Genomic DNA, 19393 nt, shown 5'->3' with positions numbered 1-19393 from the left:
TGGTTTAGTGCCATCATCATTCCCTTGGTGCTCTCCTTGCAATAATGAATTCTCCTAAGATCTGGTTGTTTAAACCTGTGTGGCATCTTCCCCCTCACTCTCTCTTGCTCCTACTCTTGCCATGTGACACCCTAGCTCCATCATTGCCTTTCACCATGATTGGAAGCTTCCTAAGGCCCCGCCAGAAGTCAAGCAGATGCTGGCACCATGCTTCCTGTACAGCCTGCAGAACCATGAGCCAATTAAACCTCTTTTCTTTATATATCACCCAGCCTCAGATATTCCTTTATAGCAATCCAAAATGGACTAACACAAGCTCCATCTCCCAGGACCATGTCCACCTGGGGAATTATGTGGAAGTGACTTCCACACTCATTGCCCATGCCCACACAGTGCTGTGTGCATTGAAACACCACAAAGTTGGTACTATTTAGGCAAGTCTGCACACTCCAGTCCATAATTCTGTTGCTATAAATACTGCTCTCTACCCCTTGGCCAGCATCATTTAGATGTTTGCTTATACCTGCTAGTGAATAACTGATCTAGCAACATGGAGAATAAACAAGGGCTCCAAGACCTCAAGTGGAGGAGACCAGGCTAGAGTGAAGGCACTCTGCCAGGCAAGCTACCTTGGGACATGTAGTCGAGGTTTGGCAGGGGGTCTTGGGACTGAGTCTGCGGATGCCCCAGAAAGAAGCAAGGAGAGTCCAAGGTGGCTGCTGGGGCTGAGAGACACTGCAAAACTAAGAACCCAGAGCTTGAGCTTAATCATGAGAATGAGCCCCGAGCACCCAGGAATGCCAGGCGGCTCCACGGTAACCGATAATGTCCAGGCAAAGACCGCTCATATGACTGTTATTTGTGAAATCTCCAAATCCAAGGCTTCTTTTGAAAAGGTCAACTCGGGATCAAGGAGGTAGCAGGCCTTCAAAGACAAAGACAATCTAAACAACCTCATTGATTTGGTGGAAAATCACTCAGGAAGGGGGTTTATGGATTTAAAGGCTAAGCTAAGATCTCTAAGAACTTAGGGAGTAGGGTTACAGCTGGCCAACTCCAGACTTCCTTCAAGCTCCCGCCCCCGTCACAGGGTTTGTCCTGAAAGCTGTGATTATGCTGGTGGCTTTTACTGCCCTGACTCCTGGATTCCCTCAGTTCTTTGGGTGAAAGAGGTTAGAGAAATGCAGGAAGCAGCAGCTACTGAAATTAGGATAGCCTACAATCATTGATCCCTAGGGAAGATAATAATAGCGATGAGAGCTGATACACTGTGCTCAAAGCACCCTATAAATATATATACTCTTTGAATCATTTTATTTTTTAATTATTAATTTTTTTCTTTTGGGGGGCAACACTTCACTCCATAAAATAGAAGGCGTGCTCCCCTAATGTCTATTTTAAAGTGGAGGAAATTGGCATTTAAGTAGCTTGCCCAAGGTCACATAACAGTAAGCGATGAGGCTAAACTTCAAGCTCTGGCCATCAGTACTCATCTGTACTCTTATCCATTAGGTTAAAGGCGCTGGTCTTAAATGTTACTCAAACCAGGAGGAAGGAGGTGAATATGTACTGAGTGTCTGCTATGTGTTAGACAGCATGCTAAAGGCTTTTTCACATGATATTTCATCTATGCCCTCACAACTACCCCCTGAAGTTGGCACCATCATCTCTGGTTTGGGTTTTGTTTGTGGGTTTTTTTGTTTGTTTGTTTGTTTGTTTGTGAGACAGGGTCTCACTCTGTTGCCCAGGCTAGTGCAGTGGTGCGATCTCGGCTCACTGAAGCTTCTACTTCCCTGGCTCAAGCAATCCTCTCACCTCGGCCTCCCAAGTAGCTGCGACCACAGACATGCGCCCAACACACCTGGCTAATTTTTTGTATTTTTAGGAGAGACGGGGTTTCACCATGTTGCCCAGGTTGGTCTCGAACTCCTGGGCTCAAGCAATTCACCTGCCTCGGCCTCCCAAAGCGCTGGGATTACAGGCATGAGCCACTGTGCCTTGGCCTCTGGTTTGGTTTTTACAGATGAGAAAGCCTCTATAATTTGCCCAAGGTCAAAACAGCTTCTCCTGGCAAAACTGAGATTCATACCCTTGGCTATCTGATTCCAAAGCCCTCAACGGACAAGGTGAATGCCACAGAAAAGTGACTGCCCTCACACCCGACACTCCCTCCAGTCTCATATGCTCCATTCTGTAGTTCAAATGTCCCCAAATGTGTAGCTGTCGGAGGAAGCAAGGGTGAGAGGTGTCTCCAGCTACAGTTTGGTTTCTTTGCCACAGTTACACTTTACAGGTTTCTTGTTTTTATGTCATGCTTAGTTTTGTTTCTTTTTGTGTAGTGTGTTGTCTCCCAAACTAAACTGTTAGTACCTTGAGGACAGGGACATTGACTCACATTTGCTCATGTGACCCTCCCGCATACCACGTCTGACACAATCACAAGAACAGAGACAGCACTCAGGAAATATTTTCTGAGTGAAGAAATAACTCTTAGAACTGTGCAGCTCAAACCTCACTCAAGTCTTTCCAGGCTGCTCTGCAGTAAACAAGTTGGGCACAGTAGCAGTTTGCTGCATTGTAAGAGTTTAACCACCCAAAGCGAGTAGATGCCAGATGAAATGACCTAAGGAAGCCCCCAGACAGGGAAGACCTCTCATTTGGGGTGCCCCAAGATCAGGCATGGAGGGGATTCGAATGCAGACCAATCAACTTCTCACTCTTAGACCTACACTCAGTATTTATTGAGCACCTGCTGCATACTAGGCACCCTACTCAGAAGGGAAGAGAAAGATGCAAGACAAGGAGCTCACTCTCACCCGGTTTATAATGTAATATACCTTGATCTTGACCTACAGCCTTGGTGTTGGGTTTCCTCCTCATCTTTGTGGGGGGTGCAAGTTAGCTGAAGAGCAGAGATACACTAGGCTGTAAACAGAGAAGTTGCTAAGTTTAGGTGAAGAAAATGAGTTTCACAAGGAAAGTTTTCTGATTAAAGAAAAAAAAAGGAACACTGACAAAGGCCGTGTTTTATTTTTTTAGCTAAGCCCGGTATTTATGCTTGCTTTCTGTCATCATGAACTCAGGAGCTTCCTGGCACACACTCCTCCTTTTAAGGACTTGGTGTTCCCCTTGAAGTTGTCCTCATGGTGAACTCCACAAAGGGCCAGCCTAGGTCTACTTTGGGTGCAGAAGTGAAGAATCCACTGCCTTTTCTTTCAGTGAGAGAACAAATCACTGTCACCTCAATACATTAATGTCCCTCTAGCTGACTGTGCTGAAAGCCAGTGGTCACAGAACTTCCCCATGACTCGGCTAGGAAGGAGGAAAAATGAGTGGGTGTCTTTCAAACCACCCGGCCAGCTGAGATCACATCAGATCACATCATGCAAATCTTACTCCAAAGTTTTCACATTTGAAGTAGGCGATGTGCAAAGCGCCATTCAAATGCTTTGGCACTGATTGCCCACCAATTCTGTCCCAGACACCAGCAATCAACAGCCAACAGAGGGATTCTCCGGTCTTCTGCATTCCCTTAACACTAACCCCCCATCTATCCCCCCCAACTCAAAGGTGCCACTCCCTGACCTTTGACAGATAAAACAGCCCAAAGGAGAATAATTGTCTCCTTTGTCTGCAAGGCAACATTCTGGCATTCCTAAAAGGGATGCTCACGTGACGACCAATGTTTCTAATCCTCCCATGTTTCCTTCTAAATCTGGATGGACTTTCTGGTAATAGCCCTCCTATTCTGATTTTTTCAGGGGTAAAACCCTGCCAATTACTTACTGGCAGGCCCTGGAAGAGTTGCTGCTTCATGGACTGCCATGGGCAAAACCCAGTTCCTCTGGAGCATGCACTTCAAGAAATAGATAGGATGGGACCCATGTAGCTTTTTCCTAAGAAGCCAACTTCATAAGTTAACTAAGCTTGCCTCAGGATCCCAGACAGACAGCTGGAAAGAAAAAGAAATCTCAAGCTTACACCAAAAAAACTATTAGTCACTCACATCTATAACGCCCTGAGAGAGAGAAAGAGAGAGATTGCAGCACCATTAGATCTGGCCCTGTTATTTAGGGAGTTACTCAGGGACCTGCTTAGCTAAAAACATCTCCTAATATCCTGCTTTGAAGTCACCCGCCCTCCTACTTGGGCTGACATTTGCACCATTAGCCGCTCCGGTGTGACTGGCTTATAGTGTAATCTCTCTTCCCTTCAATGTGAACTCTACAAGAACAGAGGGCTATTGCCAACAGGGACCTTCCCTTTCCCATTCATTGCTGCATCCCCAGCTGTGAAAATGTTTGTTGTTTGGCACAGAGTAGATGCTCAATAATATTTGTTCAATAAATAAAATAAAGGCTATGGTGCATTGTCTAAAAAAAAAACACATGACAGGCCAAGGGGAGGAGGGCCTTCTTTAGTGGCTTTCATTTCTCTCATTGCCTGCTGTCAACTGGAAAGACATAGGGAAGCTGGCTGGAGGGGATGCAATTCAGGACAAGCAGGATTCAAGGAACTTGTTGTAGAACAGAGACAAAGATGTGATAGCCAGGGGACTGTGTGGGTTATTTGCAAGGGACAGAGGTCTGGCCCAGGATGGGGGCACACTAATAAAGGACATGGCTTTTGGTGGGGCAGCATGAGAATACGGGGGCAGCCATACCCAGGGAAGACAATGAGGAACCTTCCTCCCTAAGGAGAGATATAAGAATTCTGGAGAGAGAAGCTTGTCGAACGGAAACTGCAACATCTTCCTAAGGGTTCCAACATCTTCACAAGGGCTGTCCAAGCCCTACCGATCCCCATTTGTTACCATCGATCATTGCCACTTGCTAACTGTGAGGGGCTGCGAGAAAACTTGGTAGGGCCAGGACCACCATGCCCTCAGGATAAAACTTCTCCCTCCCAGGCCTATGTCCTGAGGGTGGGGATGAATCAGTTCTGTGCTATGCCACCACAGCCATTTTCCTACACTGAAGAGAGGAACCATCTTAGGCACATATAGACTCAAACGTTGCATCGTGCCACTCCTGGCAAAAGGCCCCTCTGCAGCAAGCGGTCAGTTTCCTGGAATGAAAAAGAACCAGAATGCTCCACAGGATTCCTGGAGCCGCCGAACAGCTCAGCTCAAGAGGATCAAATCAGCAAGTATAGCTTCCTTTCTTTGCCGATGAGAGGAAGGCTTTGAAACCCAGAAGCTCTGAGAGAGTCTCCTACGGTAAGGATGATGGAGCTTATCCTGAACCATGAGCCGGTGTAAAGGCAGGAGTGCTGAGCCCTCTACATGGAGGGCATGGCCCCCAATCCAGGCAGGACACGATGTGTGTCTAGAGAAGCCCTTTTTATTCTACTGTCAAAGGGCAAGTCCAGAGTATTTTTTGATTTTTTAGATGAGAACTCACACTGTTGCCCAGGCTGGAGTGCAGTGGTGCAATTACTGCTCACTGTAACCTCAAACTCCTGGGCTCAAGTGATCCTCTCTAGCTCCCAAGTAGCTAGAACTACAGGCATGTGCCACCACACCCAACCAACTTTTTAACTATTTTTGTAGAGATAGAGTCTCACTATGTTGCGAAGACTGGCCTTAAACTCCTGGCATCAAGTGATTCTCCCACCTCAACCTCCCTAAGTGCTAGGATTACAGGTGTGAACCACCACACCGAGCCCCCCTTTTTTTTTGAGTTCAAGAAAGGGCACTAAAAGTCAACACTGGCAAAATATTTCACCATTTTCAAGGCACCTACACATCCGATATATTACCAGAGCCTCAAAACCACCCAGTGAGATCAAGAGCAGGATGCCCAAAGTCCAGACGAGGAAGCAGAGACCTGTCAGGGCCAAACTGTCTTCTCTACTTCATAACTGAGTTGAAGCAACTTGAAGTCACAGAGCTAATCATCAACATCGAGACTTCTGAGGTTCCATTCCCAGCCCTGCTCTCTTCCCATGGAACCTTGCTGAGTCTCAAAAAGGCACAAAGCAGCATCATATCCCCAGAAGACATGGTCTGAGACTCAGGATGATCCAGAACCACTTCTGGTTTGGAGCCAGCCAATTCATGAATCACTGTTTGCTCAAATAAACTCTTAAAAAAATTTTAATTGCACCTCCGTTTACCTTTTTTAACACTAGCATGTTGTAGAACATGAGTTTGGTAGAGAGGGAAAAGATAGATATGGACTCAGTAAATGTTTACAGAGGGCTTACTTGGTTCCAGGAGCTGTTTCACATAGACATTGCCTCATTTAGCTTTCATGGCAACCCTGTGAGGCAGGCATTCTTGCTATAGAAAAAAAAGCTGATGCCCAAAGAGGACAGGTATCCTGCTGGAGGCCCCAAACATGGCTGCTGGGTCCAGCTTCCATGGCTTCTATACCAGGAGTTTTCAAACTTCAGTGGGCATCAGAATCCCTAGAAGGAGAATCAAAAATACATATTCCTGGGTCCCAACCTAGAGGAGCTAATTCCTTGGGTCTGCTCTGGTGCCCAGGAATTTGCTTTTTTTTTTTTCTTAAGACAGGGTCTCACTCTGTCCCTCAGGCTGGAGTGAGGTGGCATGATCTTGGCGCACTGCAACCTCCACCTCCCAGGCTCAGGTGATCCCCCAACCTCAGCCTCCTGGGTAGCTAGTACTACAGGCAGGCACCACCATGCCTGGCTAATTTTTTGTAAAGACGGGGTTTTTCCATGTTGCCCAGGCTGGTTTCCAACTCCTGGACTCAAGCAATCCTCCTGCCTTGGCCTCCCAAAGGGCTGGGATTATAGGTGTGAGTCTCTGAATTTGCATTTTTAATGAACACCCACGTGGTTCTGGTGCAGGGGCTCATGCAGCATACTTTAGAAACAATTGATCTCCACCACTCTGAGGAAGGAAATCAAGAGAATTCTCAGCTGCTGGCTTCCCCTATGTACCCTAGGCAGGAATGGTGGGAGAGAGGTGTGTTCCTGTCTAGCTTCTCAGCAGAGAAGGGATGAATCCTGGGTGTGCTCAAATGGGTGTCTCCACAAACCTGTCCAGCACCCAACAGGAAGCCCGGGATAAAGGTCTAAGGAGGCCTAGATTGCTCAAAAGGCAGCTACTAGCCCAAACAAACAGCCTTGAGAATGAACCCTGCTTTAACATGGATGCCTCACCAGGGTGGTGGCTCACATCTGTAATCCCAGCACTTTGGGAGACAGAGGAAGGCAGATCACTTGAGCCCAGGAGTTCAAGACCAGCCCTGGCAACGTGGCAAAACCCCATCTCTACAAAAAAATACAAAAATTGGCCAGGCGTGGTAGCATGAGCCTGTAGTTCCAGCTATTCGAAAGGATGAGGTGAGGTGGGAGGATCACCTGAGCCCGGGGAGGTTGAGGCTACAGTGAGCCGTGATCATGCTACCGCACTCCAGCCTGGGCGACAGACTGAGACACTGTTTCAAAAAACGAAACAAAAGCCCACGAATGCCTTATGCCTGCTCACCTCCTATGTTTTCCAGTAGATGAACACAGCAAATAGACTTGCATACAGACAGCTACCTCTAGAGCCGCCAAAGGAGACCCAGCCATGTCAACCCAGTCATTGTATGCAGAAATCAGGAGTTTCCAGGGGAGAGAAGAAAAAAAGGAGAAAACCAGCTCCCAACCTTGCTCCAGCTTCTGTGTCCCTCTTTTCCGGAGCTGGCAGGGCTGTGCAATCAAAAGCAGCCTCCTGGAACTGAAAAATACTTGTGTTCAACTCCTCTCTGGAGAAGCAATCGGAGGGGAGCCAAAGCAAACACTCCTCCCTCCTAAGGCTCCGGACACACGGCTGAACCCAAAGAAGTTGGGAAGGAAGTAAGATCTATCCTCACCTCCTGTCTCACGCTTCTACAAACACAGATGGTGCTGCTGTTATCTGCGCTCATGCTGGGACAAGGCTGCGTCTTGAATTGTGTTGGGGTGAGAGGCTGAGCTCAAGTTTTTGCACAGCATGAAAAAGGAAAGATGCCTGTAATCAAGTCAGAAAGCAGAAGTGTCTGGCTGGGCCACCAGAGCTTACAGGGTGCCCTCCCACCTATGAATGACTCACCAAAGAAAAAGGCCCTTAGCTCTGTAGAATCAAGGGAGGGGAGATATTCCACTGGGTTAACTTGGGAATGGTGCTAGGTAGAAAGAAGTCAGGAGGTCAAGAAAGAAAGAAGAGGAAACACCACATATCACCTTAACCCTATGGTGATGGTGATGGTGGTGGTGGTTGTTGTTTTAATCATCCTTGATGGCACTCCAACCTACATCCTGCAATCCACACAGGGCTGTTTGATGTTGAGGCTTGGGGGGAGTTCAAGTCAAGGGAAGGACATCCTGTTAACAGCATTGTTGGAAAAAGATCAAGAACAAGGAGATGGAAAATAGCTGTGAACACCTGATAAGCCTGGGCGCCCCCCGCCCGGTCCCCCTACCCCTGCCCGCTTCCTTCAGTCTCAGGTTTGTGAGACTAAAGTCTTGTGCACAGGCATAGGGGTTGACCCAGTGAGTATCTGTGTCACCCCAGAGTCTCCAAAGTCTTCATCACCGCACTCTGGGAATATTACACCAACTTCCTGCACCCATATTGCTTTTAGTTTAAGTAGCTCTCAAGAGGCACAAGTCTCCATCAGGATACTACTGGGATACTTCCTGGAATGGCCCAACCTCCCCTATGTACCAACCCCTGGTCACTTCACTCATTAGGAATCAGCTCAACCTTCACCTTAAGGAAGCTGCCCTGCTTGTCCACACTGCACCCACACTGGGGCAATGTCCGGTAGTATTAGGAGAGATTTCAGTATTGGCCTCTCTTTCTAGATCCAGAACCAACAGAAGACAGAGGCGATTACCTTTATTGATGATGGTACTGAAAACATCTGTTCTTTATTTAATACTTTTTTTTTTTTAGGTAGAGACAGGGATCTTACTATGTTGCCCAGGCTGGTCTTGAACTCCTAGGCTTAAGCAATCCTCCCTCTTGGCCTCTCAAAGTGCTGAGATTACAGGCATGTGCCATGACAGCAGACCTCATTTAGCACTTCTTATCTGAGAAACTACTATCTAAATGCTGTCCACATATTGTCTCATTGAATCCCTTCCTGTAGCTTCTGCAGTTGCCAGTATGAATGCTATTTTACCAAAGAAGCCCAAACCTATGAAAGTTATGAGACTTGTCAAAGGGTACACAGCAGATCTAGCGACAGTATTCTCCCATCCAAGTACTAACCAGGCCCGACCCTGCTTAGCTTCCGAGATCAAACAAGATCGGGTGCATTTAGGGTGGTATGGCCGTAGACGACAGTATTCTCAACACCCTCGGCCTGGCACAGTCCAACGCACACTGTAAGGATTCAGTAGCTTTTTCCACATAAGGAATAAGAACAAGTCACATCAAGAAGACAACCCAGGCATGAGAATCTTCTCCTCCAACCACCTGAACTCTCAGTTAACTGACTGGTCATCTTAATTTCTTTCAGGAAGTGAAAACTTGTTAATTTGCCCATCCATCTGCAAGCAGCTGCTATGCCCAGGGCCTTGCTCTGAGACACAGGACAGATGTGTCAGTGAAACAGGAAATTTTCCTTGACCCCTTTGTGGGCTTCATGACAGGGGTGCCTCACTTAGCCCTCAGTTCTCAACCCCTCGAGGGAGTGGGAGCACACAGGCAAGCGGGCACAGGAGCTGGAGTGATCGCTTTTGGGCACCAGCAGGAGAAAAACTCCATGAGGGTACTGCGGCAGCATCTAAGGGGGGAGTATCTGTGACCCCTGAAGCTCCAGAGTGTGTTTGTTACACTGCGCTCCTTTAGCTTAAGTGTTTAACAGCTCAATAGACCCTCTGCCTTTTCATGAGGGCAGAGAGCCAGTGAGACAGCTTTCTCTATCCTGAGCTCTTACCTGGCATCCAGGAAAAAAATCAGATAGCACAAACGAATTGAAAGATGGTAAATGCAGAGGATTTTATTGCCGATAGAAGTGGCTGTCAGTGGGAAGGGGAGCTGGAAAGCAGATGGAGCAGGAAGGTATTCCACCCCTGAGGTCTGGCTGTCCCCAGCTGACTCTTCTCTGAAGTCCCGCTGTCCAGCCGTCTCTCTAAAGTAAACCTGCTTCTCTCTGATGTCTGGCTAATGCTTCTCCCCTTCTCTGCTCTCTGTCAGTAGAGCCTGGGGGTTTTAAGGCTATAGGATGGGGGTTGGCCAGGAGTGGTTTTGGAAAAGGCAATATTCCAGCAGGAAAATGATGTAAAGTTCTCACTTTGGGCTGCGGTTTCAGGCTTGAGGGTGGGGCCCTCGCCAGGGACCCCACCCTTTTCTGCCTAGAATTTCTCTGCCTCCTGTCCCTATCATCAGCCAAGGTTCTGGCCCTCTGGAAGTTTCCCATTTAGTAGGAAGATGTGGAGATGGAGGGGAGGTGGACAAGAGAAGGGATAAGGAAGAAGGAGAAATAGACGAACCACCAGAAAACAAAGGCCAGTGTTGGAACAGACCCAGCAGGTACACAGGCTTGGAAATGCATTCTTTAGAGCATAAAGGCTGATGTGGATGAGGGCAGCAGGGGAACAGGGGTTCCAGCTAGAAGGGAACATCTCAAAAGCAGAGTATCTTTTGTTCGTTTGCTTGGTGGTGGTTAAATATACACAATTGTTGATTTTTAAGCAATTTTTAACTGTATAGTTCAGCAGCGTTAAGTACATTCATACTATTGTGCAACCATCACCTCCATCCATTTCTAGAACTTTTTTCATCTTCCCAATCTGAAACTCTGTACCCGTTAAACAGTAACTCCCCATTCTCTCCTTCCCTCAGCTTCTGACAATCACCATTCTACTTTCTGTTTCTACTGCAGGTAACTGTGGTATAATAAAAATATTATTTGGTCTTTGTCCTCTGTGCTTGGTACAGAGCTACAAAAATCCTTGGGATTTCCTGAGTGATAGGAATATCTCATCATTTCCTAAGGGGCCCCTTTCCAAGACACCAGAGTTTATGCTAATGAGGTGACATAGGTAGCCCTCCTAGACAGCCTCAGGAGGGGGCTGGTCACCAGAAAGACCAGGGATTAGAACTTGGAAATGTACAACCCCATCCCTCTACCCCCTCCAGGGAGTTTATGCTAATGAGGCAACATAGGTAGCGCTCCTAGGTAGCCTCAGAAGGGGGCTGGTCACCAGAAAGATCATGGATTCGAACTTGGAAATGTACAACCCCATCCCCCTACCCACTCCAGGGAGGGGAGGGGAGGGGAGGGGGCTAGAGACCGTGCTGGATAAAATCTCTTGAACAGTTGAGTTTCAGAGAGCTTCTGGTTGGTGAGCACATCCAGGTGCTGAGAGGGTGGCAGGATAGGGCTTGGAAGCTCCACAATCCCCATCCCAATTTCCTGCCCTATGCATCTCTTCCATTTGGCTGTTCCTGAGTTGTATCCTTTATAATAAACTAGGAAATGTGAGTAAAGTGTATAATAAACTAGGAAATGTGAGTAAAATGTTTTCCTGAGTTCTGTGAGTTGTTATAGCAAATCAAACCTGAAGAGGAGTTATGGGAACCCCCAATTCACAGCTGGTTGGCCAGAAGTTTTTTATATATTTCATTGTATATAACAACGTATATGTATATATTTCACTGTACATATATATACACACATACATACACATACACACACTACATTTTATTCATTCATCTGGAAGCACAGACACTTGGGTTGCTTCCAAGTTTTAGTTATTGTGAATAATGCTGCTATAAACACGAGTATACAAATATCTGTTCAAGTTCCTGCTTTCAATTTTTTACCTAGAAGTGGAATTGCTGGATCATATGGTAATTTTATTTTTAATTTTTTTGAGGTGCTTCATGTTGTTTTCATAGCAGCTGCACCATTTTACATTCCCACCAGCAATGCAAAAGAGTTCCAATGTCTTCACATCCTTACCAACACTTTTTTTTTTAATAATAGCCATCCTAAATAGGTGTGGAGTGGTATCTGACAGTGGTTTTGATTTGTATTTCCCTAATGTTGAGCACCTTTTTAGGTGCTATTGACTGTTGGGAGCAAGCCCCCCAAAATCTGGCCATAAACTGGCCCCAAAACTGGCCATAAACAAAATCTCTGCAGCACTGTGATATGTCCATAATGGCCCTAATGCCCAAGCTGGAAGGTTGTGGATTTACGGGAATGAGGGCAAGGAACACCTGGCCCGCCCAAGGCGGAAAACCGCTTAAAGGCATTCTTAAGCCACAAACAAAAGCATGAGCAATCTGTGTCTTAAAGGCGTGTTCCTGCTGCAATTAATTCAGCCCATCCCTTCATTTCCCATATGGGATACTTTTAGTTAATTTAACATCTATAGAAACAATGCTAATGACTGGTTTGCTGTTAATAAATACGTGGGTAAATCTTTGTTGGGGGTTCTCGGCTCTGAATGCTGTGAGACCCCTGATTTCCCACTTCACACCTCTATATTTCTGTGTGTGTGTCTTTAATTCCTCTAGCGCGGCTAGGTTAGGGTCTCCCCAACTGAGCTGGTCTTGGCAATTGACCATTTGTATATTTGTTAGCTCATTTTTAAATTGGATTGTTTGTTTGTTTTTTTTTTTGCGGTTGAGTTGTAAAGAGTTCTTTACACATTCTAGAAATTAATTCCTTATCAGATATAAGATTTGCAAATATTTTCTCCCAAATATGGGTGACTTTTTTAGTCTGTTAATAGCATCCTTTGATGCATTAAAGTTTTACATTGATGTAGTTTAATTTTTTCTTTTCTTTTAGTACCTCTGCTTTTGGTATCTGACCCAAGTAATCTTTGCCAGAACTAACATTATAAAGCATTTTCTCTGTTTCCTTCTAAGAGTCTTATGGTTTTAGCTTTTATGTTTAAGTCTTTGATCCATTTTTCAGTTAATTTTTGAATATAGTATAACGATGTTACTGGAAAGGGGTTCTGATACAGATCTCAGTAGAGGTTTCTTGGATCTTATACAAGAAAGAATTTGGGGGAAGTCCATAAAGTGAAAGCAAGTTTATTAAGAAAGTAAAGGAATAAAGAATGGCTACTCCATAGGCAGAGCAGTGGCATGGACTGCTCAGCTGCTTATATTTATTGTTACTTCTTGATTATATGCTAAACAAGATGTGGATTATTCATGAGTTTTCCGGGAAAGGGGTGGGCAATTCCAGGAACTAAGGGTTTCTTTCCTTTTTAGGCCACATAGGGTAACTTCCTGATTTGCTATGGCATTTGTAAACTGTCATGGTCCTGGTGGGAGTGTCTTTTAACATGCTAATGCATTATAATTAGCATATAATGAGCAGTGAGGATGACCAGAGGTCACTTTCATCACTGTTTTGGCTTTGGTGGGTTTTGGCTGGCCTCTTTACTGCATCCTTTTAACAGCAAGGTCTTTGCGACCTGTACCTTGTGCCAACCTCCTATCTCATCCTGTGACTTAGAATGCCTAACCTCCTGGGAGTGCAGCCCAGTAGGTGTCAGCCTCATTTTACCCAGCCCCTATTCAAGATGGAGTCGCTCTTGTTCAAACGCCTCTGACAACACAAGGGTCTAATTTCATATGGTTATCCAGTTTTCCCAACACCCCTTATTGAAAAGACTGTCTTTTCCTCATTGAATGGTCTTGACACCCTTGATGAAAATCATTTGACCACATACACAAGGGTTTATATCTGGACTCTCTTCTCTATTTCATTGGTCTATATGCCTGTCTTTATGCCAAATACAACATTGTCTTCATTACTGTAGCTTTGTAGTAAGTTCCGACATCAGAAAGTGTGAGATCTCCGATGCTGTTCTTCTTTTTTGAGATTGTTGTGGCTACTGATGGTTCCCTGAAATCCCATATGAATTTTAGGGTAAGGATTTTTCTATTTCTATGAAAACCATTACTGGGATTTTGACAGGGATTACATTAAATCTATATATTGCTTTAGATAGTTTTGACATCTTAACATGAAGTCTTCCAATCCGTAAACACAGGATGTCTTTCCATTTATTTACACCTTATTTAATTTCTTTCAGCAACATTTTGTAGTTTCCAATATACTTGACTTTTACATCCTTGGTTTATTCCTAAGTATTTTATTTTTTAATGCTATTATAAATGGAATTGTTTCTTAATTTTTTGGGGGGGGGTGTTGTACATTGTCAGTGTATAAAAATGAAGTTGAGTTAAAGCAGGTTAAAATGTTGCAAATTCCATCTATTCAGTTTGCAGAGAACTGGGGACTGGAGGCACAGCATGGGGGAGGAAATGGGGCAAAGGTGAGTTAAAAAGCCATGAAATTTCCTATGGCTTTGAATGTGTCTTTTTCTTGGTTGGGTGGGCTTGGTTGCTGTAGATCTTTGACTTCCAAAGCTTGTCAAAAGAAGTTATTTTAGCCACTTCCTAGTTGGTTATTTAACATTTCTGTAGGAAAATGAGGGCCTGGAGCTTTCTAGTCCACCATCTTGCTGACATTCCTCTCCACTGCCTAAATCTTAGACCCAAAGGGTATAACCCAAGGAGATAGTATGGAGCCTCAGTGGTCAGAGCAGAGCCAAGGCTGAGAGGTAACAAGAGACAAGTTAAATAGGAAAAGGTGGGGAGCGGAGGTCTGGAAATTGGAAACTGAAGACTTAGACTTAATTCTGTGAAATTAACAAGCAACTATAACAATGCCTGGCAAGGCAACAAAGCCAAGGCATGCGCTGGGTGATAGCTCATGCCTGTAATCCCAGCCCTGTGGGAGGCGGAGGCAGCAGGATCGCTTGAGGCCAGGAGTTCAAGACCAGCCTGGGCAAAGTAGTGAGACCCAGATTCTACAAAAAATAAAATAACTAGCCAGGCATGGTGGCACATACCTGTAGTCCCAGCTACTCTGTAGGCTGAGGCAAGGATCGCTTAAGCCCAGGAGGTCAAGACTGCAGTGTGCTGAGACTGTGCCACTGCATTCCAGCCTGAGCAACAGAGCAAGACTCTGTCTCTAAAAACGGAAAAAAGAAAAATCACTTCCAAGATTAGGTTATAGAGAAAAAAAAATATAAAAAGCCAAGGCAGAAGCCAGGCCAGGCCAATCTGAGCTTCTTCCAGTGCACTGGATTGAATGTCAAAGAACCCAAAAGATGTGGAGCATATGCATGGTTTCAAGCTCATATCCCATTAGGGCTCCTCAACTCCCCAACCCTAAGGTTTTCAGGACGTTTTCAGTACCTCAGGTGAATCAAAATCATGAGCCTCAGCCCAGCCTCTGCCCTCAATCTGAAGGGTGAGTGGCCCAAGCTCCCACTGCTTCCCACTGAACCTTACAGCAAACGTATCATAAATCAACCCTGACCAGCTGGGTGCAGTGGCTCACACCTGTAATCCCAGCACTGTGGAAGGCTGAGGTGGGAGAATAACTTGAGGCCAGGAGTTCAAGACCAGCTTAGGCAACAAAGCGAGACCTCATCTCTACAAAAAAAGAAAAAGAAAAAAAAAAATCAGCCCTGACAAGAATATGGCTCCAAGCAGGCAGTCTTTTCCCATGCATGCTGCTCTTTCCTCCTCGTGGTTTCAAAAAGTGTCTGATCACGAGCCTTATTTGGGAGGCCAGTTGAAAACATATAATGCTGGCTGGGCATGGTGGCTCACACCTGCAATCCCAGCACATTGGGAGGCTGAGATGGGCGGATCACCTGAGGTCGCGAGTTCAAGACCAGCCTGGCCGACATGGTGAAACCCTATCTCTACTAAAAATAGAAAAATTAGCCAGACGTGGTGGCGGGCACCTGTAATCCCAGCTACTCAGGAGGCTGAGGCATGAGAATGACTTGAACTTGGGAAGTGGAGATTGCAGTGAGCCAAGATCACCCCACTGCACTCCAACCTGGGGGGCAAAGTGAGACTCTATCTCAAAAAAAAAAGAGAATACAAAATGCTGGGCCCCTTTCCTAGACAGTTTGGTTAAGACAGTCTGTGTGGGGCCGCAGACCTCTGTATTTTCATCTATCCCCATGGATTAGGCAAATCACCAACCACTTCTGGAAGTTCTGGGCTAATCCCCCAAGTTGAGTTACTAGCCTCTGACATTGTTTCCACCTGCCCACGTTTGGTGAGAGCTTTTCGAGGAAGGAGAAAGCAGAACTGAAATTCAGTTCCATGCAACCTTTCCCAGAAGTCTCAAACTGGCTTCTTCTTCTTCTTCTTCTTTTTTTTTTTTTTGAGATGGGTCTTGCTCTATAGCTCAGATTGGAGTGCAGTGGCATAATCATGGCCCACTGCAGCCTCAACCTCCTGGGCTCAAGCAATCCTCCCACCTCAGCCTCCTGAGTAGCTAGGACTACAGGTGAGCTCTACCATGCTCAGCTAATTTCGTACTTTTTGTGGAGACAGGGTCTCACTATGTTGCCCAGGTTGGTCTCAAACTCCTGGGCTCAAGCAGTCCTCCTGCCTCAGCCTCCCAAAGTGCTGGGATTACAGACATATGCCACCATGCCTGATGTTCAAACTGGCAATTTAATCTGATGCAGTTTTAAGACATAAAATACATTTTTAAAAAATGAAATGAATTAGTTACCAGCATTTAAAAAACAGATTTCATAAGCCAGCTACAGAAGGACAAGTATGATTCCACTTTTACAAGGATCCTAGAATAGGCAAATTCATAGGGACAGAAAGTAGAATAAAGGTTACCAGGGGATGTGGGGGCGGGGGGGGGGGGCAAAAGAGGAGTTATTGCTTAATGAGTACAGATTTTTTATTGACGATGATGAAAAAGTTTTGGGTATAAATAGTGGTAATGGTTACACAACATTGCAAATGCATTTAATGTCACTGAACTGTACACTTAATGAATGGTTAAAATGGTAAATATTATTTATATTTTATCATGATTACAAAATACAGATTTCACATAAAAATCTGGATTTCTGATTTCTCTTCAAAGGAAAAAAATGCAGATCTGACACCACCGAGTCATGCTTTGTATATATCAATGATTGGTGGGAGCTGAAGCAACTGGTGCCTTTAGATAGGATGAAAACTCTCAAGCTCACTGGGACCCCACCACACTCCAATATCATTTTTACTAGGCCTGCTTCAGCATTTATATGGACTGGCTGGCCCCCATAACCATTTCAGAGGGTGGTCTCAGACCTACCCCGTCTACCTTTAGTCACTACTGGCCTTGTTTTCTGCTCCCAGCCCTTGTCTACTCTCCTCCAATGCACAATAGGAGGCTAGAAAGCAGACAGTCATGCTTTTCCTCCCTGGCTGTCTGAGGATAGACCACCATCATGAACGACACAGTAACTATCCACACTAGAAAGTTCATGATCAACCGACGACTTCAGAGGAAACAAACAGTCATTGATATCCTTCACCCTGGGAAGGCAACAGTGCCTAAGACAGAAATTTGGGAAAAACTAGCCAAAATGTACAAGACCACACTGGATGTCATCTTTGTATTTGCATTCAAAACTCATTTTGGTGGTGGCAAGACAACCGGCTTTGGCATGATTTATGATCCCCTGGATTATGCAAAGAAAAATGAACCCAAACATAGACTTGCAAGACATGGCCTGTATGAGAAGAAAAAGACCTCAAGAAAGCAATGAGAGGAACGCAAGAACAGAATGAGGAAAGTCAGGGGGACTGCAAAGGCCAATGTTGGTGCTGGCAAAAAGCTGAAGGAGTAAAGGTGCTGCAATGGTGTAATCTGTGGCCATTGTGGATTTTTCACAAGAATATTAATAAACTAAACACTTTCATGTGAAAACACAAAAACAAACAAACAAAAAGTAGACAGTCATGTGAGCAAGCACTCTGTTTGCTGTCAATAGCAATAACAATCAATAGATGTGAACAAAAGAGTTTGCCTTCACCTCCGCAAACTTCCCTCAGACCTTGAAAGACCTCTGACATTACAAGATCCAAAATGACAACCCTGGACTGCAACATACCCAAGTGGCCATGACTTTGGAACAAGACTAGGCTGACCACACACTTTATGACTGTGAATCCCAAGTCAACCTCAGAAACTCTCAGCCTCTCTGGGTGATACCATATGATCAGCCTGTCCAGCAAACACAACCTCCTCAAGGCCTGAGTCACTTTCTAGAGCCTTTCGTTATCTGCTAGGATCTGATTTCCACTGCTGAAATACTATCATTGTTCTAGACCTGGACTATCCAGCTGGTTATGTTTATCCAACTAGTTAACCTAGGGGCCATTGCTTATGCGGCCATCTATAAGTATAAAATATACATGAGTTTCCAAAGACTTAGTAATGAATGTAAAATAGCACATTACTAACTTTATTATATTGACAACTTGTTGAAATAATATTTTGGATACATTGGGCTAAATACAACATAATCCTACATATAACTACAGTTTGAATGTGTCCCCCAGAATCTATGGGTTAAAGACTCAATCCCCAGTGTAACAGTGTTGAGAGCTAAGGTCTTTAAGAGGTGATAATGTGGCTAGGTATGGTGGCTCATGCTTGTAAACCCAGCACTTTGGGAGGCTGAGGCGGGAGGAACTCTTGAGCCCAGAAGTTCAAGACCAGCCTGCACAACATAGCAAGACCCCATCTCTATGAAAAATAAAAAATTAGCCAGGTGTGGTAGTGTGTGCCTATGGTCCCAGCTACTCTGGAGCCTGAGGCAGGGGATCACTCGAGCCCAGGAGGTTGGGGCTGAGGTGAGCTGTGTTCATGCTACTGTACTCCAAGCTGGTGACAGAGTGAGACCTTGTCTCTTAAAAAAAAAAAAAAAGTGATAATGTCATTATTACAGGAGTGGACTCATTATTATGAGGGTGGGTTTGTTATAAAAGTCAGTTTGTCCTCTCTTATTCTTTCTGTCACCCATGTGACGGCTCCTGCCATGTTATGATGCAGCAAGAAGGCCCTCACCAGATGCAGCCCCTCAATCATGGGTTTCCCAGCCTCCAGAACCATAAGCCAAATTAATTTCTGTTCAATGCGAATTACCCAGTCTGTGGTATTCTGTGATAGTAGCATAAAACTGACTAAGACAGAAAATTGATACCATGAAGTAGTCTGATGCCATAACAAATACCTGAAAATGTGGAAGTGGTTTTTGAACTGGAAATGGGTAGAAGGTGGAAGAATTTGGAGGATCAGGAGAGAAAAGTCTGCCATGAATGGAGTATTAAGGGGAATTCTGGAGAGGGCTCAGATGAAAAAAGAACTTTAAGAAGAGCCTAAAGCTTCTCAGGGATTACTTAGGTGGTCCTAATCAGAATGTTGGTAGAAATATAGACAGTTATAGACAGTAAAGACCATTCTGATGAGGTGTCAGATGGAAATGAGGAACAAGGTATTGGAAACTGGAGTAAAAGCCATTCTTGTTATCTACTTGCAAAGAACTTGGCAGAATTCTGTCAGTGTCTTAGGAATTTGTGGAAGAC

The 19393-nt window shown here is 45.1% G+C and overlaps 1 protein-coding gene and 2 pseudogenes across 2 annotated transcripts in view, besides 1 other annotated feature; 1 reads left to right on the top strand and 2 right to left on the bottom strand.

The window, feature by feature from the left end:
• FLVCR2 (FLVCR choline and putative heme transporter 2) overlaps nucleotides 1–19393 on the bottom strand; it is a 69548-nt gene that overhangs the window by 34711 nt on the left and 15444 nt on the right. The window contains exon 1 of one of the 2 annotated variants that reach the window (NM_001195283.2): nucleotides 7833–7917. The exons of the other annotated variant lie outside the window; for it this stretch is intronic. Coding sequence (NP_001182212.1) covers nucleotides 7833–7886 — 54 coding nt within the window. The 5' untranslated portion in view covers nucleotides 7887–7917. Of the gene's footprint in view, nucleotides 1–7832; nucleotides 7918–19393 lie in introns of those variants that run through there. 2 annotated transcript variants of the gene reach the window in all.
• RNA5SP387 (RNA, 5S ribosomal pseudogene 387) lies at nucleotides 780–9284 on the bottom strand (annotated as a pseudogene).
• Nucleotides 10078–10957: an enhancer, noted in NCBI's record as "H3K27ac hESC enhancer chr14:76068843-76069722 (GRCh37/hg19 assembly coordinates)". NCBI's record gives its function as "activates a minimal SCP1, AML or CMV promoter by ChIP-STARR-seq in naive H9 embryonic stem cells {active_cell/tissue: H9 hESC(naive)}" and the evidence as "EXISTENCE:reporter gene assay evidence [ECO:0000049][PMID:30033119]".
• RPS24P2 (ribosomal protein S24 pseudogene 2) lies at nucleotides 17214–17721 on the top strand (annotated as a pseudogene).

This window comes from Homo sapiens, chromosome 14 (genome assembly GCF_000001405.40).
Source record: "Homo sapiens chromosome 14, GRCh38.p14 Primary Assembly".
NCBI lineage: Eukaryota > Metazoa > Chordata > Mammalia > Primates > Hominidae > Homo > Homo sapiens.
The sequence above is the reverse complement of the archived record's forward strand: the minus strand, read 5'-3'. Positions and strand labels throughout refer to the sequence as shown.